The sequence below is a fragment of the Homo sapiens genome, chromosome 13 (assembly GCF_000001405.40).
Source record: "Homo sapiens chromosome 13, GRCh38.p14 Primary Assembly".
NCBI classification, from domain to species: Eukaryota; Metazoa; Chordata; class Mammalia; order Primates; family Hominidae; genus Homo; species Homo sapiens.
Genome location: NC_000013.11, coordinates 52218358 through 52240924, shown reverse-complemented (window position 1 = coordinate 52240924; position 22567 = coordinate 52218358). Strand labels below are relative to the sequence as shown.

Genomic DNA, 22567 nt, shown 5'->3' with positions numbered 1-22567 from the left:
TTGCATTTCTCGGATGATTAGTGATGTGGAGCATTTTTCATGTTTGTTGGCCACTGGTATGTCTTCTTTTAAGAAGTGTATGTTTATATCTTTTGCCCATTTTTAATGGGGTTATTTGTTTTTTTTGCTTGTTTAATTGTTGAGTTTCTTATAGATTCTGAATATTAAACCTTTGTGAGATGCATAGTTTGCAAATATTTTCACCCATTCTATAGGTTGTCTGTTTACTCTGTTGATAGGTTCTTTGCTGTGCAGAAGCTCTACAGTTTAATTAGGTCCCACTTGTCAGTTTTTTGTGGCAATTGCTTTTGAAAGCTTAGTCATAAATTCTTCCCCAAGGTCAGCGTCCAGAATGCTGTTTTCTAGGTTTTCTCCTAGTATTCTTATAGTTTGAGGTCTTTCTATCTTTAGTTAATTTTTGTGTATGGTGAAAGGTATAGGTCCAGATCATTCTTTTGCATATTGCTAGCCCAATATCCTAGCACCATTTATTGAATAGGAAGTCATTTCCTTATTGCTTATTTTTGTTGACTTTGTCAAAGATCAGATGGCTTTCTGTGTTTGGCTTTATTTCTGAGTTCTTTATTCTCTTCCTTTGATCAATTTTTTTTTCCTGCCAGTACCATGCTCTTTTGGTTTCTATAGCCTTATGGCGTAGTGTGAAGTTGGGTAATGTGATGCTTCTGGCTTTGTTCTTTTTGCTTAGGATTGCTTTGGCTATTCCGGCTCTTTTTTGGTTCCATGTGAATTAGATTTTTCTAGTTCTGTGAAAAATGATGTTAGTAGCTTGATTGGAAAAATGTTGATTCTGTATATTGCTTTTGGTAGCATGGCCATTTTAATGATATTGATTCTTCCAGTCCATTAGCATGGAATGTTTTTCCATTTGTTTGTGTCATCTATGATTTCTTTCAGCAGTGGTTTGCAGTTCTCCTTGTAGAGATCATTCACCTCCTCGGTTAGCTGTATTCCTAAGTATTTTATTTTTTGTGTGGCTACTGTAAAGGGGATTATGTCCTTGATTTGGCTGTCAGCTTGGACATTATTGGTGTATAGAAATGCTACTGATTTTTGTACATTGATTCTGTATCCTAAAACTTTACTGAAGTAATGTATCAGTTTCAAGTGCCTTTTGGTGGAGTCTTTTGGATTTTGAAGATATAGAATCATATCGTTGATGAAGAGAGATAGTTTGACTTTTTATTTTCCTATTTGGATGCCATTTTTTTCTTTCTTTTGCCTGATTGCTATGGCAAAGACTTTTACTACTATGTGAAATAGGAGTGGTGAGATTAGGCATCCTTGTCTTGTCCCAGTTGACAAGGAGAAGCGTCCAGCTTTTGCCTGTTATAATGTTGGCTGTGGGTTCATAATAGAAGGCTCTGTTTTGAAGTGTATTCCTTTAATGCCTAGTTTCTTGAGTGTTTATTGTCAAGAAGGATGTTGAATTTTATCAAAAGTTTTTTTTTGCATCTATTGAGATGTTCATATGGTTTCTGTGTGGTGAATCACATTTATTGATTTGCATATGCAGAACCTTGCATCCTTGGAATGAAGCCTACTTGACCATGGTGAATTAACTTTTTGATGTGCTGTTGGATTCAGTTTGCTGGTATTTTGTTAACGATTTTTGTGCCTATCTTCATCATTGAGATTAGCCTTTAGTTTTCTTTTTTTTTTTTTTTAATTGTGTGTTTGCCAGGTTTTGGTTTCAGGGTGATGCTGGCTTCATAGAATGAATTAGGGAAGAATCCCTCCTGGAGTTTTTGGAATAGTTTCAGTAGAACTGGTACCAGTTCTTCTTTGTATATTTGATATAATTCATCTGTGAATACATCTGATTTAAGACTTTTTTGGTTGGCGGGTTTTAACTTATGGATTCAATTTTGGAGCTTGATACTGGTCTGGTGAGGGTTTCAATTTCTTTCTGATTCAATCTTGGGAAGTTCTGTGTTGCCAGGAATGTATTCATTTCCTCTACATTATCTAGTGTGTGTGCATAGAGGTGTTCATAATAGTCTCTGAGGACCTTTTGTATTTCTGTGGGATTGGTTGTGATGTCGTCTTTGTGATTTCTGATTGTGCTTATCCGGATCTTCTTTCTTTTTCTTTGTTAATCTAGCTAGCAGTCTATCAATTTTGTTTATGTTTTCAAAGAAATGACTTGGTTTCTTTGAATCTCTGTTTTAATTTTGGGGTCTCAATTTTGTTTAGTTTTGCTCTGATTTTAGTTATTGTTTTTCTTCTGCTAGGTTTGGGGTTCTTGTTTTTCTGATTTCTCTCGGTGTAATGTTACATTATTAATTTGAGATTTTACTAGCTTTTTGAGGTACACATTTAGCACCATAAACTTTCCTATTAACACTGCTTTTGCTGCATCCCAGAGATTCTGGTATGTTGTGTTTCTGTTTTCATTTATTTCAAAGAATTTTTTGATATCTACCTTAATTTTATCATTTGCTTAAAAGTCATTCAGGAGCAAGTTGTTTCATTTCCATGAAATTGTTTGGTTTTTAGAGATCTTCTTGATATTGATTTATATTTTTATTCAACTGTGGTCCAAAAAAAATGGTTGGTATGATTTCAACATTTTTTGAATTTATTGAGGCTTGCTTCATGGTGGAACATATGGTTGATCTTGGAATACATTCGCTGTGCAAATGAGAAGAATGTATATTCTGTGGTTGATGCATGGAGTGTTCTTTAGGTGCCTATTACATCCAGTTGGTCAAGTGTTGAATTTACGTCCGTAATTCCTCTGTTAGTGTTCTATCTGAATGATCTGTCTAATGCTGTCAGTGGGGTGTTAAAGTCTCCTGACTATTATTATGTGGCTGAGTCTTTTCATAGGTCTAGAAGTACCTGTTTTATTAACCTGGGTGATCCAATGTTGGGTGCATATATATTTAGGATTGTTAAGGCTTCTTGTTGAATTGAACCCCTTATCATTATGTAATGCCCTTCTTTGTCCTTTTTTACTATTGCTGGTTTAAAGCCTGTTTTATCTGTTTTAGGAATAGTGATCCCTGCTCTTTTTGGTGTTTTGTTTGTGTGAGAGATCTTTCTCCAACCCTTTACGTTGAACCTGTTGGTGTTGTTACATGTGAGATGGTGTCTTGAAGACAGCAGACAGATGGGTTTTGTTTTTTTATCCAACTTGCCACTCTGTGACTTTTACGTGGTGTGTTTAGACTATTTACATTCAAGGTTAATATTGACGTGAGCTTTTCACCCTATCATGACATTGTTAGGTGGTTGCTTTATACTTTCTGTTGTATTGTTGTTTTATAGGCTCTGTGAGCTGTGTACTTAAGTGTGCTTTTATGGTAGCAGGTATCATTCTTTTATTTCCATGTTTAGAACTCCCTTAGGGATCTCTTGTAAGACTGGTCTAGTTTTAATGAATTCTCATGGCACTTGCTTCTCTGGAAAAAAAGATCTTTATTTGTCCTTCGCTCATGAAGCTTAGTTTGGCAGGATGCTCTTGATTAGAATTTATTTTCTTTAAGAATTCTGAAAATACACCTTCCCAATCTCTCCTGATTTTTAAGGTTTCTGCTGAGACGTCTGCTGTTATCCTGATAGGGCTCCTTTTGTATGTGATCTGGCCTTAGGATTTTTTCTTTAACGTTGACCTTGGACTGTTTGGTATATGCCTTGGTAATGTCCACTTTTTTATAGTATCTCGCAGGTGTTCTCTGGCTTTATTGTATCTAGATGTCTACCTTTCTAGCAAGATTCAGGAAATTTTCTTGAATGATTGCATCAAATATGTTTTCCAGGTTGTTTTCTTTTTCTCCTTGTCTCTAGGGAATGCCAGTAATTTGTAGGTTTGGTCACTTCACATAACCTATTTCTCAAAGACGTTCCTCACTTTTTAAAAATAGTTTTTCTTTATTTTTGTCTGACTGCATTAGTTCAAAAGACCAGTCTTCAGGCTCTGAAATTATGTCCTCTGCTTGGTCCAGTTTATTGATAAATCTTTCCATTGTATTTTGAAATTCCTTAAGTGAGTTTTTTTAATTCCAGAAGTTCTGATTGATTTCTTTTTAAGATGTTTATCTCTTCCTTCATTTGCTGAATTGATTTAGAAGTTTCCTTTTGTTGATTTCAACCTTGAATCTCATTGAGCTTCCTTGGAATCCATGCTTTGAATTCTTTATTGTCATTTCTGAGTTTTCATTTTGGTAGAAAGCATTGCCAGAGATCTAGTGTGATCCTTTGGTGGTATCACTACATGCAGGTTTTTCATGGTGCCAGAATTCTTGTACTGGTTCTTCTCATCTGGAGATGCTAGCACTTCTAATTTTTGTAACTGTTTTTATGTGGGTAGGATTTTTTCTTTATCTTTTCTTTCCTATATCATTATTATTATTATTATGCTTTCCCTTTCCCTCCTCCTTAGGTGATGTGACTTTAGAGCAATGCTAGGTAGGTCTTTTGGCCTTGCCTCTATATGCACTTCTATCAGCAGGTTTTATATTGGGTATGTGGTTTGACCTACAAGCCAGTAGATGGCGCCAATGGGTAAGAGCTGGCTGTGGCCAGTGGTGCTGGCTATATACTTGCTGTTTGTTTATTGGGAAGAGCTCTCTGTTGCCTTAGGCAATGAGCTGATTCCTGGAGTACACATTAATCTGAGCTCCCTCCTAAACCCTAGGGGAACGGGAGTTAGGTGGGGGTGTGGGAGGAAGATGGGTGGAGCCAGATGGGGAAGGTTCCCCAGTGTTGTCCTGCTCTCAGTCCAGGTTTGGGAAAATGCCTGCAGCTTTTCCTTGTGTCTTTTCCTCACAAAGTCTCCAAGTCTCTCGTTAAATTAGCTCCAGGACTTGGGAGAAACAGTGCCCTTCCTCGGTCCGGGTTGCTTGGATCCCCAGTGGAAAGGTAAGACAGAGGGATGCTGTCTGCCTCTCTCACATACTGAGGCTTCACTCGCTTTTATCAGTCGAATGTTGTCACAAGAGCTGTTTGCCTGCGTTGTCCTCCCAAGGATCTGGGGTGTCCTTCATAATTCCAGGGAGTTGTCGTTTTCTTTCTTGAATTAAAGTTCACAGAGTTGATCTTTATGTACTATCTTGCTATTTCCAAATGGCTGAGGCATGCTAAAAGCCTGTAATCTGCCGTCTTGGAAAAAAATCCTTGCATTCTTAAGAGAAATGGCACTTGGTATTGATACGTGGTATTTCTACACTGCTGAATTCACTTTGAAAAAATATATATATTTTTATATCTACATTTATATGTCAGACTGGTATAAAGTAATCGTCTACTGTATTTATGCAGTTTTGGAACCAGCTATATTAGTGTTACTAAATGAGTTGGGAATTTTTCTTTCTTACTGTTACCCAAAGGAATTTATATAAGACATGAATTATTGCTTTCGAATAGATTTAGTAAAAACCTCATCTTGTTCTTTCGTGGAGAGGTAGTGAGAAATATTTTTACCGTAAATGTAATTTATTTTCCACCTGTGGGGCAGAGGTTGCAGTGAGCTGAGATCGTGCCAGTGCACTGCAGCCTGGGTGACACAGCGAGACTGTCCCAAAAAAAAAGAAAGAAAATCAACTTAAAATGAACTCCTGGAATATTTCTGAGTGTATTTTTATACCAAGCATGTTCCTTGAACTAACTTTTCTTTTCTAGGAAGAACCGGAACTATGGTTTGTGCCTGCCTGATTGCCAGTGAAATATTTTTAACTGCAGAGGTATGAAAGATGTTACTACAAACTTTGTCTTAGGATGACTGAGTTTGCTAGTTCTGAAACATCACTGGTAGGATGTTAAGATGATTATTTTAGTCATGGTGCTTAGTGAAATTGTAATTGGAGAAGCGGTTGTTAAAAAGTCTGTTTTTGATACTTCCTTGTTTAACATGCACTGGTTAGTAGCTGGCTTAAGAATCTCTTTGGGCCAGGACTAGAGTGAGGTCAAATGAGGCGCAGAATTTAAGAGAATGCTAAAAATTGCAATAATTAAAATAAATGATTTTTCATGCAATATTTAAAAAATAAAAATTAATGCAAAAAAACCATGAGGTATACAATATTAACATTTTAAATAATGACAAGACCTGATGGGGCAGGATTAAGGTGAGGGGAGTAAAGCCATGTTACACAGATACAAAAAACATTCAGTAATCGCAATGGTTCCCTCACCTCACCTGGCCCTGCTGTTCTTCCTTCCTCATGAGAATAGTATCAAGCTTAATTAGATAAATTTTCCAAAGGGCCTTGGCCATCCTCACACCTCTTAGGTAGATAAAAGGCAACATTTCACAACTCAAAGCCTCTCCTGCATGTAAATACCTCTGCTTAGTCAACACATGTGGAGTCTGTGGCCTCTAGAAATTTCTGATAAGACAAGGTGGGCTGTTTCCACCTACAGCAGTGTTCTCAGTCATTTTTCTTTCTGCCATTTTCTTGCTGAGATGCTACCATTTCCAGCAGCTCCGCTTGAGTTGTTTGGCCTACAGTCTAGGGAAGAAGTGGTGGTTCTGCACAATGCCCAGCACTCTAATTCCACCACCTTTGGTTTTTCTAATTTGAGACACACAGATTTTGAAAATGGATGTTCTAGGATGGTGTTTTTCAAGCTATGGATCATGATGTATCAGTGAGTTGTAAAATAAAGTTACTGGGTTGTGACTAACATCTCTTAAAAATAAAATGGAATCGGCCAGGTGCGGTGGCTGATGCCTGTAATCCCAGCACTTCGGGAGGCCGAGGCGGATGGATCACCCGAGGTCAGGAGTTTGAGACCAGCCTGACCAACATGGAGAAACCCTGTCTCTACTAAAAATACAAAATTAGCTGGGCATTGTGGTGCATGCCTGTAATCCCAGCTACTTGAGAGGCTGAGGCAGAAGAATCGCTTGAACCCAGGAGGTGGAGGTTGTGGTGAGCTGAGACCGGGCCATAGCACTCCAGCCTGGGCAGTAAGAGTGAAACTCCGTCTCAAAAAAAAAAAACAAAAAAAAACTAAAGCTAAAACTAAATAAAATGGAATAGAGCAGAATAGAAAATCTGAAAAGGTTTAAGTATTGGTGTGTGTGTGTGTGTACTTCTCCGAGGTTTATTAATGTGGATTGCAACTTAAAAAATGAAAAGTTTGAAAGCCACTGATACAGAGCCCTAGACTGAAAACCAGAGACTTGTATTTCAGGCCTGTGCTGCTTCTAACTGGCTGCAGCATCTCCATGGCAGATTGTGTAGTTTTCTTTTGGTCTCAGTCTTCTCATTTGTAAGATGGAAAGAAGGGTTGGACCAGATGATTTCTAAGGTCTTTCCAGCTCTAAACTTTTATGTCTTTATGAAACCTTGAATGAGAGAAGTCTTTGATGTGACTTTGTTAATTTTGGTAATTTGGGTAGCCTTTGCCAAAAGACCACTGCGGCTAGGCGCGGTGGCTCATGCTTGTAATCTCAGCACTTTGGGAGGCTAAGGCAGGCGGATCTCTTGAGTCAGGAGTTCGAGACCAGCCTGGCCAACATGGCAAAGCCCCCATCTCTACTAAAAATACAAAAAATTAGCCAGGTGTGGTGGTACACGCCTGTAGTCTCAGCTACTCAGGATGCTGAGGCAAGATAATCGCTTGAACTCGCGAGGCAGAGGTTGCAGTGAGGTGAGATTCTGCCACTGCACTCCAGTGTGCGTGACAGAGCGAGACTCCATAAAAAAAAAAAAAATCACTGACTTTAGGAAAGAAGGTGGTTTTAGAAAGACTAAGGTACCTAATATAGAAAAGGAAAGAGTGCAGATGAACCATGGTTCCTTTTTTGTAGGAAAGATTGTACTATTTTGGAGAACGGCGAACAGATAAAACCAATGGCACTAAATATCAGGGAGTAGAAACTCCTTCTCAGGTAAGTTTTCGTTTTAAGAAAGGGAGCTTTTGTAGGGGAGTGGGTTAAGATTGCCATCTGTTATTTGGTTTCATTTTAGACTCTTCTCCTTTGGTGATCAGTCAGCAGCATTAGGGCACCCTGCGACAGGCCTTGGTCCCTCCCTGATGCTAAGGGTCATGCTTCAGGTGCCACCCACACGTTGGGGGGTCTGGCTTCTCCTCAGAGCATCCTGTTTTCTATTCTATACTGGTTATTGTTTACGGAGCTCAGGAGTTGATTATTTTCCCAAAGCAGGAAAGTCCAATACCTAAGGCTCCAGGACCCTGAAGTTTATCTAAAATCACCAGCCTTTGATTTCAATGTAAAAAAGATCTAAGTCTTTCACAGATCCTTATTAGGGCAATTCAACCCTTGCAGAACATCACAAAGACTGTTTTTGGGTGACTCCCGTGTGTGTGTGTGTGTGTGTGTGTGTGTGTGTGTGTGTGTGTGTGTGTGTTGTGGGGGAGGTGTATTTTAAAAGAGAAAGAAAAGGGGAAATAAACTTTTCAAAAACCCTTTTATATACCAGACAGTACCGCACTTTTACATATCTCATTGAAAACCCATAACACCTATATGAAACATATGCTGTTACTCTATTTTTTCTTTTAAAAATAATTTTGTTATGGAAAATTTTAATCATATACAAAAGTCCAGAGAATCATACAATATATCTCCATGTAGTCATCGCTTCGCTGCAACAATCATTTCAGCCTGCAGCCAGCCACGTTTCATCCATACTTTTCCCACTCCACTCACACCCCCAACCCCACTCTCCACTCTTGCTTTCCCCAAACCTGGATTATTTGGAAGGAAATTTCAGTCATCAGATCATTTTATCCCACAAGTATTTTAGTATGACATCTAAGTACTCTTAAAACAACAACAAAAAACCCTTAATAACTTTTATCATATCTGAAATATTACACCTTAAAAATCCTTAATATCAAATTTCTAGTCCATGTTTGTTTCCAAAATTGTCTTAAAATCTTTGAAAATTTAGTTTGTTTCAGTCAGAATTCAAACAACATCCACACATTTCATTTGGTCGCTATGTCTCCTAAGTCTCTTTTAGTTCATAGATTTCTTGCCATTTTTTATTGCTTGTAATTTGTTTACTGCAGAAACCAGAATGTTTATCGTATAGCATTTACAACATTCTAGACTTTGCTGAACCATTCTAAGAGTTTTACATTCACTATCTCATTTAATATTCTCAGTAACTCTATGAGTAGGCACTCCTATGATTCTCATCTTATAAATTAGAAAATTGAGGTTCAGAGAAATTAACTTTTGAACCAAGGACTGAAATCTAGATGTCAGACTCTGAAGCCCATGCTGTGCACAGCTTCTCATTTATATTGCCTTTTCTATATTGCCCCTCAAACCGAAGTGAGAGTGGGTTGGGCATTCTCAAATAGATTTGGATGTGGCTGTAAATGAGTTTTTCTTTAGGTGGTGGGAACTGAATAAGTACTCTTGGCCCTGTTATAAGAACACTAACTACTGTCCCCGTTTAGTTTGGGCAAAAGAACTCAGCCTTATCCACTGATACTTTTCTCCCACACCCAAGCCAAAAACAAAACCAGACAAAGAACAGTCATAGACCCTAAGCGAAAAGGAATGTGTGGATTTACTGAAGTGCAGCCCTACTCATGCCATTTCCATGCTCAAAATCCAGAGTATGTCCCCACTGCCAGTAGCAATAAACTAAATGTTTCAACCTGGCACTCAAGATCCACAGTTTGACTTTTCCAACCTTTTCTTCCACTATGTGCATGCACACATCCCACACTCTAACACATTTAGACTGTGTGCTGTTTCCCAGCCCATGGACACTTGATTCCCTCGTGCCATTTCTCATGCCCCTTTTCCTAGAGTCCCTTTCCCTTCCCAGCCTGAAGTAGTCTCTTGCTTTTTCAGTTCCTAAAGCCCTTTGTGTTTCTCTTAGGGATGATATCACTTTGCATTGTTCTCTAGCTATTTGAAGTGGTGACTTCTGTTTCCCCTTTAAAGGCAAGGCCCATGGCTTACCCATCTTTCCACCCTTTCCTCATAATATCTTCTTTGTTTGTAGTGAGTACCTCCTATGGGTTGGTTGTATGAATTTCTACTACCAGTCCATGTTGTTTTAAGTTGTAGTAGAAAGAAGCATGGGAGCAAAAGCAGCTTGAGGGCCCTGGCAGGTTACAGCCTTTAGGGGAAGGTGGAGAATCTGGTGGCAGGAGCCAAGGAGATGTTAGATAGAGCTCCTTCAGCAACTCACCCCACACGTCTCCCCATCCCCATCTCTTCTGTAGTCATGCATAGTTTCCCGAACTTTAGTCCAGAACTAGCACACCAAAGGCTGCAACTGAATCTCTTCTGATTGACTGAGAAGGCAACACAGGGTCTCAGCTGCACATTTGAGAGATGTGTTGGCAAGACCTCAGGACAGAGTGCCCTCTGTGTCTGGTGGTGATTCTCGGATACCATCACATTCTGATCCTGCATTGTGGGCCATTCTACTGACTACATCTACTCCTAAGTTAAGAACTTTCATGAGCCTTCCTCATGACTGGCCCTTTCTAAAGGAAAGTATGGCAGTTTGTTACTTCTATGAACATTTCTCAATGGGTAAGGTAGAGTCCATGAACTTATGAGTACTTCTTCTTTTTTTTTTTTTTTTTGGAGACAGAATCTGTCTGTCACCCAGACTGGAGTGCAGTGGTGCAGTCTCAGCTCACTGCAACCTCGACCTCCTGGGTTCAAGCAATTCTCCTGCCTCAGACTCCCGAGTAGCTGGGATTACAGGTGCCCACCACCACGCATGGCTAATTTTTGTAGCTTTAGTAGAGACGGGGTTTCACCCTGTTGGCCAGGCTGGTCTCGAACCCCTGACCTCAAGTGATCTGCCCACCTCGGCCTCCCAAAGTGCTGAGATTACAGGTGTGAGCCACCAGCCCAGCCAACTTTTGAGTTCTGAACCAGTTGATTCAGTACCAGAGCTCTTCAACTCCTTGAAGATAGATTCAAGGAGAGCCACTGTGAACAGCTTGCCCTAGGAAAAGGACAAGGCTAAGGGAATTCCGGGGCTTCCTTGTGAAAACAGAATTGGGGAAATGGAAAGTGAAGAAATCCTAGCTGTCAGGAACAAGAGAAGAATGACAGGAAACCTGCTACTGAGATATGGAGGTATTCCTCTTGAGTTTTCACATATGGCATTCTCTCATGCCCAGGAACCTGCTCTTCACTAAACCACACACCTTCCTCTAACTCAGTCACAACTAAGCTTCTATCTGCACACTGCTAATGCTGTAACTGTTTTGTTGTTGGTTCTGATTAGTTGCCCTCTCAACCATAAGCAGCCTGTCAACAAGACCTGGCTCCATCCTTGTCACTTCCCCATAGCACTTAATTCAGTATTTTTTCCCCAAGGTAGATAGTTGTGAGGCAGCATCCCTCAAAATATCTAGTAACATAATGACATCCAGTAAATGTTCCCTTAATTATTTACTGCCCTTAAGCTTTATGCAAAAAAAAAAAAAAAAAAAGGGAAAACTGAAAATAGGAATGCTGACTTCAGGCTTTTCATCTCCACTTAAAGTAAGGCTTCTGTTGCTTTTCAGAATAGATATGTTGGATATTTTGCACAAGTGAAACATAGCTACAACTGGAATCTCCCTCCAAGAAAAACACTGTTTATAAAAAGATTCGTTATTTATTCGATTCATGGTAAGTGTTTATGTAAAATTGAAGAATTGGGCAGGAGGGCCAAGGTTCCCACTCTGGGAGGGTTTTGCTCATTGTTATATACACAGATGATCCTAACTTATACCTGTCTTTTTACGTATCCTCATGCATAAACTCCTCCTTAGGTATGCTCCTCCTCCTGGAATTGCCCATTGATTGCCAGCCCTTAGATGTTCTTCACTTTTTCTTTTCCATCACCAATTTGGAGGACTTCATCCCCTTCCCATCTCTCCTGTTCTCTTTGCTCTTCTGGTCACAACCCAAGGTGGACTTTTCAGGGCAGAGTGAGCCTCTGATGAGGGAGGAGGAGGTCCCATGTGCCTTCAAGACTGGTTATTTCTCAAACCACCTCTAGTTGAGAGTTTGTCTTGGTGGAGGTGTCTCCATATCATATCATTTTCTTACCTTCTTTCAGAGGCATATTTTTTTCTCATCCCCCTGGGCTCTCTCTTTCCCCTCTGTCCTCCATCTGTAACCCTCTCACTCCCAGCCACTCCCATACCTTGTGGCTCTCACTCCCAGCCACAGTGCTGGGGGTCAAGAAAAGCCTCCTAGGAGGAGCGCTTAGGTCTTCCCTGCCTGAATCTACATGAAAATGGAAAGGGTTGCGAGAGAGTGGGGCTCTATGGAGGTATCTTTCACCGGCCTAGCTGTTACCGAGTATTAGCAGTTGTAAAAATCCATATAAACATCACGAGAGCTATTTGCCTGCTTCCAGAATGTAAGCAGAGAGATAAAGCTGGGATGCACTGTTGCCCAGGGACGCAGGGAAATTGGTCAGTCGTACACCTCCGGGACTTGAGAAAGAAAGTGCAGAGAGAAACTGGCCTCCATTTCCATGTCCATTTCTCCATCACCAACCTTGCTTCCCCTGCACAGCTTAACACTCAGTAGAGGTGGGAAAGCAGGATGTGTCTGTGTGGAGGGGATGGGGTCTCACCACTCCCACTGCCAGAGAGGTAGCAGGGAGGCGATGCATCTGAACCCCTAAAGCAAACCTCTTATAACAGCCAGCGTGTGGACCTGAGGTGGTGCCACTGCTGGGTGTTATAGGTGCCATGGTGCCGGGGTGCTTGTGTCCACACAGAGAGCCTAGTATTTTTAGCCTCCTGAGTTTCATTCTACATTTCACTGATTTCTGGTGGACATCAATAGAAAGAAGTTCTGCACCTGGAATGGGAAAGAGGGAACTGAGGCAAGAAACTGATTTCTAATGACCAATGAATATCATGGTGTTAATGAAAACAAAATTAAATGAAAAGAAAACAAACGGCATATGAGATGATCAATCAAGAATAATTAATACACTCGTTTATTAGAATATTTGTTTTAATTCTCAACTTTTAGTTTTGTGCCATTTTAAATTAAAAATAATGTAGAGTTGAGATGAAAGCAATAAAAAATTAATTGGAGCCTGAGAAACAAAGCCTTTGAGGAAATGTTAAGGAAGCGGGTCATTTGAATTGAAAAAAAAAAAGGGCAAAAGAGCCTTTGTCTGTAAATATATGTTGAATACCGTGGGAATTTTTGGATATAACCTATATTTTTTTAGAGATTGCATCAGGAACTAGACTTAAAGTAGGGCCAAAGTAATTTAGACCACAGTATTTCTTATTAAGAATCATTATGATTAGAAGTCTGAAGAAAGCAACACATTAGCAAGAAAGGTGTCAAGTCACCTTCCCTAAATGTATATACATCTATATTTATTCCCTAAATACATATATATATTCCCTAAATATAGATATATATATATTTATTCCCTAAATATATATATATTTATTCCCTAAATATATAAAAAAAAATATATATATATATATATATTTTGGAGACAGAGTCTTGCTCTAAGTCTCACTCTGTGGTCCAGGCTGGAGTGCAGTGGTGCAATCTCGACTCACTTCAACCTCCACCTCCCAGGTTCAAGCGATTCTCCTGCCTCAGCCTCCCAAGTAGCTGGGACTACAGGCATGCACCACCACACTGGGCTAATTTTTGTGTATTTTTAGTAGAAACGGGGTTTCACCATGTTGATCAAGCTGGTCTTGAACTCCAGACCTCAAAAGATCCACCTGCCTAGCCTCCCAAAGTGTTAGGATTACAGGCGTGAGCCACCGTGCCCAGCCATTTTTTTTCTCTTTTTAATCCATAATGTTAATTGGCAAGACATTTTGATCTTCACACTAACCAACCTAACTTTTTAATTTCATTTAGGTGTTGGAACAGGCGATGGATATGATCTAAAAGTCCAAATAGTAATGAAGAAAAAGATTGTCTTTTCCTGTACTTCCTTAAAGAATTGTCGGGTAAGAGAAAACATGTGAATAGAGAAAATCTGATGTTTGTTTTAAGGCTGAATGTCAAACCAGCAATGTTGACCTCCCTAAACTATCACTTACCATAAAGAGATTCCACGATGCTTTCTGGTTACCATCATGGTGTCACTGGATTTGAATGCAAGCCAGAGATAAATTAACCTGTTTGTTCAAAACAGTTTTTTCAGGGTACTTTCCAGAATTTATTTCTGTTCAGTGTTGCTTTGCCTTTCACTTTTCCACAAATGCTGAGCATGTTCCCAGGAATGTATTAAGGATTTTAATTTACATGTCTGGTCATTTTTAGCCATATTCTCCTCTTCTCGGTCATTTTATCTTTTATTATATAGCACTGATTCTAAAATGTTAGTGTGCATGAAAACCACCGAAAAGCTTGTAAAGATTTACATTCCTAGGTTGTACTCTAAAGTATGATTCAGGAAATCTGGAATGGGGGCAGGAATCTATAGACTTAGCAGTGTCCGAAGTGATTCTTCTAAGTCAGAGGTTCTGTGGGATGACCCTGTGAGAAACAATGCAAGAGTGAATGAATTGGGGAGGAATATCTTTATCCAAAGCAAAAGGGACCTGATAGTCAATGTTTTGCTACAATGAAGAAATGCCTAAAACTATATACCTTTTCTGAAACAATAAGAAAGCTTCCTTCATGGGTCTAATAACCATAAACTTTTAGAATTCCTACCCAGGCCTTTGTCTCAAATTCTTTTATTACTAATCCTATTCCCTGGCTCTCTGCACTGCACTCACTTTTTTTGGCCTCTCCCAACTGAGGGCATTCACCCAGGCCTGATCCTTGGCTTTCTCTTCTTAGCAAATGCTTTATTCTTGGTTAAAGAATCACCCATTTCCCTTACTTAAACTATTATTTGTTCATTTACTGACGAGTTATTTCTAGTCGCCCACTGAGTTGTAGATGCAAGAGCTGCAACATGAACAGTTTCCACTCAAACTGAAACGCAGTAGCCAGTCTGAATTATCAAGGAGCTTTCTCTGCTTCTGCAAATGGTACCAGCATTCTCCCACTCAGGCCTTGGGCTTTGATTCTCTTTGCCTCGGCTCCCTAAATCCAGTTAGGCATCAATCCCTGTTGATGATGCCTTTGAAATGTTTCTGTGCTCGCCTTCCTTTCTGTTCTCGCTGCCACTAACTCTCCAGAACCTCATTTGCTCATGCCTAGATTTCTACAATCCTCTCCTTACCTTTTCTTGATTCTTATATAATGGAATGTATAGAATCCTGAAATATGCGTACTGAAATATTGCTCTCATTGTGAAAAGTTGTAGGTAGAGCAGAAGACACACTGCATGCCCATGGTCGAAGCCAGTTAACATCTTTGGCTTATCATCCTTACCTGTAAAATAAATATCACACCTCAAGTGTTATGGGAATTAAGTTAGATAATATATATATGAAGTTGCTTTGTAAACTATAAATCACTAAATAAATGTTATATGTGATAATTATCAGGCCTCTTTGTCACATAGGAAATACCCCACAATATTCTTCAAAAGCCTCACTCTTATTTCCTTGGCTCTTGAACTCTTAAGATATAATAGCCCTAACATACCTGAGCTTATTTTTATCAGTAGCTCGACCAGCAGACTCCATTCCAAATAAACTGGGTCATCCCCTTTGGCTCTTGGAACACAACTCTAAGTTATTTAGTTAGTTAGTTGGTTCTTTCTTTCTTTTCTTCCTTCTTTCCTTTCCTTTTTTTTCCCTTGAGTCAGAGTCCCATTCTGTCCCAGGCTGTAGCACAGCGGCGCGATCATGGCTCACTGCAGCCTCAACTTCCTGAGCTCAGGCAGTCCCCCAATTTTTTTTTTTATTTTTTGTAGATATTGGGTCTTGCTATGTTGCCCAGGCTGGTCTCAAACTCCTGAGCTCAAGCAACCCTTCCACCTCAGCCTCACAAAGTGCTGGGATTATAGACATGAGCCACACTGCCTGACCTTTTTTGTTGTTTTTCTAATTTCTACTTTGCGTTATTGCTGGTCTTTTTCCCTCTGTATGGACTAGATTCTATTTTCAGAGCTTTCATGCCCAATTCAATTTCTACCTCCTCAATGAAATTTTCTGCACCTCCTGTTAACTAGCCTTCAATGGTGCATAAGAGCACACCCAGTCTTCATCATACAGATTGAGAATTATATTCCATTCTACAATTGTTTCTTTTTTTCTTTTTTCTTTTCTTTTTTTTTTTTTTTTTGAGACGGAGGCTTGCTCTGTCGCCCAGGCTGAAGTGCAGTGGTGCCATCTTGGCTCACTGCAACCTCCACCTCCCGGGTTCACGCCAGTCTCCTGCTTCAGCCTCCAGAGTAGCTGGGACTACAGGCGCCCGCCACAATGCCCGGCTAATTTTTTGTATTTTTTTAGTACAGACGGGGTTTCACCGTGTTAGCCAGGATGGTCTCGATCTCCTGACCTCGTGATCCGCCCACCTTGCCCTCCCAAAGTGCTGGGATTACAGGCATGAGCCACCAGGCCCGGCCTCTGCGATTGTTTCTTATGTGTATAGCTCCCTGAAGGGACCAACTGAGTCTGCACCTCCTTTTGTGTTTTTCACAGGGCCTAGCATAGATCCTTCTTACTGTGGGTGCCATTATTTATATGAGAGTGAGTCAAAGAAATAGTATATCTTCAAAGTCATTCATTCCAAAACTTGAACTATCTTTGGTCACTCCATCCGCAGCCGGTAATGGTCAAGTCCAAAGATCCCACTGACAAACACAAGAGTTCTGATAAAACATGATGATCGGGGGACCCCACCCTCCCCTCTCTTGGGAGGGGCAGGTGGGCCCACCCCCCAAGTGTTACAGACCCCTGTTGTTATTTTTTAAATTTAGTAAATGAAAAACCGTGAGTTAAGCATTGTTTTTCGAATGTCAAGGCTAGCTTTAAAATTGAGCTTCTTAACATATTCTCAAAAGAGGCCCTAATGTATGAAAATCAAATGACACACATTAAATAATAATATTTAACTGATTAAAGTGTCTAATAGAAAATTCAATACTTTTGAAAAGGGAGACACTTTTGAAAAGTGCCTCATGATAACCCTCAAACATGTTGGCCTTTAAAAATCATAAACAACAGGGTGGGCATGGTGGCTCACCCCTGTAATCCCAGCACTTTGGGAGGCCCAGGTAGGCAGATCACTTGAGGCCTGGAGTTTGGGACCAGCCTGACCAATATAGCAAAACCCCATCTCTACTAAAAGTACAAAAACTAGTTGGGTGTGGTGGCATGCGCCTATAGTCCCAGCTACTCGGGAGGATGAGGCACGAGAATCACTTGAACCTGGGAGGCAGAGGTTGCAGTGAGCTGAGATCACACCACTGCACTCCAGCCTGGGTGACAGTGAGACTGTCTCAAAAAAAAAAAAAAAAAATATATATATATATATATATACACATATATATATATATATGTATATATATACACGCACACATACACACCAGACACACATACATATAAACAACAGTATTGCAACTAGAAAAGATTATTAATAATTATTTATACATGTAGTGATTGGTCTGTGAGACCAAAAGTACTTGATAAATATAGAAAGTCTTGATAAGTGAAAAGGAACTTCATTGTTATCATTAGCTAGGTTTATAGTTCTAAATTCCATGTTCATTCACAGGTATTTCATGACACTGAAACAGACAGGGTAATAACTGATGTGTTCAACTGTCCACCTCTGTATGATGATGTGAAAGTGCAAGCTTCCTCTTCAGTGAGTAATCAAGAAACGGCCTCTGCCATTGTTCTTGTCTGAACTTTTGAATGGTTTTATTTAAGGTTTCCTTTACTACAGTTCCCAACAAGGGAGATGATAGATGTCATCCCATAGAGGGAGGGGGAGAAAATAAATCAGATCTATAACAAATTTTTTAAAAGAACATATGTAATTTGAATAATTTTTGTTCATTTGTTTTTTCTAAATTGTACATTTTCTAAATTTTTCTAAATTTACATGTATTAATTCACAAATCCAAAAAATACAAAATAAATACAAAAAAATAAAAGCCAAGATGCTAAAAAACCAAAGGTAGGTTTTACTGCATAGCAGTGATTACATTTTGTTTTGCATCATTTTTAATATTACAAATTGAGACAGGGTCTCACTCTGTCACCCCAGCTGGAGTGCAGTGGCGTGACCATAGCTAACTGCAGCTTCACCTCCTGGGCTCATGCAGTCCTCCCACCTCAGCCTCCTGAGTAGCTGGGAGCACTGACTTGAAAGAGAGTTAGGTTTGGGTGACTCAGTTGGGTGAAACACAGAGAAGGCAGCACAATACAACACATGAAATAACCAAAGCAGTTTTTTATTAATTCCAGAGAGAAGAGGGCAGCACACCTCGCAGGGCTAACTGGAAGGGGGAGCCATCCAGGAGACCTGTGCTCAACTGATGGGTGGGGAGCAATAGCGAGAACGAGGGAGGGACCTGAGAGTGGAAGCCTTTATTGGGATGTAAGGTGTTACCTGAGCAGGTTTCCTACGGGGAGGTCTAACTGGTGGATTTAATGCAAGCAGTCATGAGTTCCATGGAGTCATGCTGTGACTGAGAGGTGGTCATTGATATATCCACATGGTCCATGCAGAGTACGGGGGTCTGTAGGGAGGTTATATCTAGCTGTCCCATAATGAAGTAGTCACCAACAGAAGGTTGTATAAGGCAGATACTGGGATCAGTCACATTGAGAAACCTGGAGGAGGTGAACTGGAAACTGTCAAGGGTGACTGAACCCTGCTTCTGATATCAGAAAGTCCAATTTATATTTGAAAGGGATGCTGAGGCACAAAAAAATTGTAAGAATTCACTACAAAAATACTTGGCTATATATAAGCATAGGTCCTTAGTAGATTCTGTTTAGCACTATCTAAACCAGATTCAAATTTCAGCATTTAAATTAAATATCTATCATGGAAAATAAACTATTCCTTGAAAATTTTGGTAGAAACAGCAAGAGAAAGCAATAGCATTTTCTTAAGCCTCCTCCTCTGTGTCTTGAGTGTGTTATTATAGAATGCAGAGTGCTACCTATTGAATGGTTATAATTATTTGATAAATATATAAAGGAATAAAGGAAGGAACTTTGATTTCTTTGGAATGATTAGTTCTTGGCATCAATTTTACTTTTAAAATATTTTTTTTTCTTTTTAGGATTTTCCTAAATACTATCACAACTACCCTTTTTTCTTCTGGTTTAACACATCTTTAATACAAAATAACGGGTATGGATATAATATCAACCCATAGAAACAACCTAATCTTCAATGTCTATGTATAAGATGTAATGGCAAGTCTTTTGCTGGTTGTCATAAGCTTAATTTATAGAAAACAAAAAATCCTTGAGCCACCATTGTTCATTGCCTTACTCCTTTTACGTTGGCTATTTTAAAAATACAGTTGTTCTTGAGACCCCCAGTTGCAGTATCCTCAAGGTCCATGCCATAGGACTGTGTTATGAGCTCAAAAGTATTATAATCAGATCTTAAGTGTGGAAGTAAATTCCTCCCAGAGAAGTTCAATATGAATCTGCTCAGTACCTTCAACATGTCAGGTCCTCAGTAGGTGCTGATTTACCAATGACGAACCACCACCAAATTTTGTGCTAAAGTAAGGGAGGACCTAGGGAAGCTTCAGCTAGCTGAAAAGCTGACTGACACACTTATATCTAGGAGAAGTTACAAGACACAGTAAGTATTAAGAAATACAGCTAAAAAATCATTAAAATTGGTAGTCTCCCATTTAAACATGGGTTTCTAATAACTGAATTGGGAAAACTTTCTTAAAAACTATTAATTGGAGGCTGGGTGTGGTGGCTCATGCCTGTAATCCTAGCACTTTGGGAGGCTGAGGCGGGCGGATCACCTAAGGTTGGAAGTTCGAGACTAGCCTGGCCAACATGGTAAAACTCCGTCTCTACTAAAAATACAAAAATCAGCCAGGCGTGGTGGCACATGCCTGTAATCCCAGCTACTCAGGAGGCTGAGCCAGTAGAATCGCTTGAACCCAGGAGGCAGATTGCAGTGAGCCGAGATCGCACCACTACACTCCAGCCTGGGCGACAGAGTGAGACTCTGTCTAAAGAAAAAAGCAAAAAAACAGAACAACTATTACTTGGATTTGGAGATTATTGTTCCCAGAAAACCTTCTGCCATATTTGGAAACTTATTTCTCAGTCTAGAAGTTCTCCACTTTAAGTAGCATTTGTTCTGTGCTGGTGAAAAACTGAGATTTTTTTGTATTAACCATACTCTTCAATACAAAAAGAGAAAATATTTTTAAAATGCTTCAGGTCACAGTTGAGGCAGTTGCTATGATTGCATGTGGCATGAATTGGTAGTTATTGTTACAACCAGTTCTAGTCTTTTCTTCAAATCTGAGCTGGATCTAATAACTCCTTAAGTCCAGCAAGGCAACAGTAAATTAAACCTCTGGTCTACACACTTGCAATACATACACATTTAATAGATTTTGATAGAGTGAACTTTGGATTGGATGGAAATTTTTTAAAAATTTGTTTCTTGGATGCATACAAACAATAAGCTTTGACTCCTAACATGAGCAAAGTCCCTCAATTGTGAGAGCTGGGTGGAGCTTCATTTGTTGCTGCTCCTCAAATTGATTCTTGGTAAAGGATACAGATTTTTCCTTTGAAACACCATGTTCATTTTGGGGAAGCAATAAGTTAGATCACCTTTATTTTCACTTTTATATAAATTTCTAAAGATTTCTGTAATATTTAAATTTATATACTATTGGTAAAGCTGTTTTTCTTAGTTGTGAAATTGTTGTTTAGCCAAAAATGCCAACTTCTGTCTTTTAGAACACTAGGCATAAATGGGTTAACCAATTTATGCCTAGTGTTCCATTATTGGAATGCTAAGCATGTGGGATTTATTTATATCCTACTGCTCAAGGTCATCGCCAAGGGCTGATTGCAAAAATTCAAAAAATTGCAACCTCAGGCATAAATTAAAAGAGATATAGTATTTTATTATTGGGTTTTGATACATGTCTAATCAGACTGATTTCTGTCACATATAGAAATTTAGATACTGTATTAAACCTAGATGTCATTAATTCCATAAAAAGCAACGTTAAAAGAATCAGTAGCATGTGTTACTGATGTGTTGCTGAAGATTAAGATATTTTTAAGTCTCACCGAAAAGGTAGAAGGAGCCAACTGAGACACAAAAAGGGGCTGAGGTTCTATTCATGGTGAGCAAGTCTTTTTTTTGTTTGTTTCTTCAAGCTCTAACAAGGGTGCCTACTACATGGCTTTTCAGTTAGCCCCAAAATAAAATGTAACAATTTTTTTTTCTATTCTTAGGCTTTATCTACAAAGAAATGAATTGGATAATCTTCATAAACAAAAAACATGGAAAATTTATCAACCAGAATATGCAGTAGAGATATATTTTAATGAGAAATGACTTAAGTTATGTTGTAACTGGTAGCTGATTAAGTATAGTTCCCTGCACCCCTTCTGGGAAAGAATTATGTTCTTTCTAACCCTGCCACATAGTTATATGTTCTAAATCTTCCTTGCTGGTACATCTATATTGATATATGTATACACATGTTCTTTATAAATCTATTAAATATATACAGATAAAATGTCAGGTTTTTTTTCTTTTTGAAGGCATATATTTCACAGTTTCCATCTTGTATTTACATACATTTGGAACACAGTACTTAGGAACATTAGGCGTCATTTTGAAGAACTTTGAAATAGAACTTTCGTATCAAAATAATTGAGAGATAATTAAAAATTGTGATCCCCCAACACCCACTTACTTATACATTTTTGGTCAGGTATTTATTCCCTGCTTTTTTTCACATTTGTAATTTCAGGTTTATTAGAAAGCTAATTTATATTTTTCCTTCTACTCGATTTACAAACTGTTAACAGATTGGCAGCAAAGACTAAGTTTTAAACCCAGAAGAGAGAAATATTTCACACAAGCAGTCCCCCAACTCCCAACACACACTTTTCTCTTGTTCCAAGCACTAAATGGGTAGCTTACTTAACAAGCTTCCTTTAATTACACACAGACATGGGGGTTGGGGTAAGAAGGGCGTAGTAAATATGAAGGAGAAGTAACCTTCAGTAACTTCTGCTTTTGTATAAAATTGTAAGTGAAGTCAAAAGAAATATTTGTTCTTAGAGTAATTTAGGTGTATTATTTTGAAATCCACTACTCCTGCTCACAACCAATGTCACCTAAGCCCTGGGGGAACTCTGAAGGGAGGTAATCTTTTCAGTGTAAACAGTGTTTAGCCCTGTGTCCACAGGGAATCATTATTATTTCCTCATTGGTGCTGGATGCTACTTTTTTATTAAACACTTTCTTTTTTTTTTTGAGACAGTCTCACTCTGTCACCCAGGCTGGAGTGCAGTGGCACGATCTCGGCTCACTGCAACCTCTACCTCCTAGGTTCAAGTGATTCTCCTACCTCAGTCTCCTGAGTAGCTGGGATTACAGGTGCGTGCCACCACACCTGGCTAATTAAACAAAATTTTTTATTTTTATTTTGTACTTTTTGAGACGTGGTCTCACTCTGGTTGCCAAGACTGGAGTGCAGTAGTAGGATCTTGGCTC

General features: G+C 39.2%; 1 pseudogene across 1 annotated transcript in view, besides 1 other annotated feature; it reads left to right on the top strand.

The window, feature by feature from the left end:
* TPTE2P2 (TPTE2 pseudogene 2) overlaps nt 1-22194 on the top strand; it is a 104605-nt pseudogene extending 82411 nt beyond the window's left edge. Inside the window, exons 17-23 of the transcript XR_007063808.1 lie at nt 5644-5705; nt 7781-7861; nt 11494-11599; nt 13829-13920; nt 17594-17686; nt 19119-19189; nt 21295-22194. The product of XR_007063808.1 is annotated as a TPTE2 pseudogene 2 (transcript). The remainder of the gene's footprint in view (nt 1-5643; nt 5706-7780; nt 7862-11493; nt 11600-13828; nt 13921-17593; nt 17687-19118; nt 19190-21294) is intronic.
* Nucleotides 18055-18223: a silencer, noted in NCBI's record as "fragment chr13:52796837-52797005 (GRCh37/hg19 assembly coordinates)". NCBI's record gives its function as "represses an EF-1alpha promoter that drives an FKBP-Casp9 reporter gene in an ReSE screen in K562 erythroleukemia cells {active_cell/tissue: K562}" and the evidence as "EXISTENCE:reporter gene assay evidence [ECO:0000049][PMID:32094911]".
* Nucleotides 22195-22567: the final 373 nt, after the last annotated feature.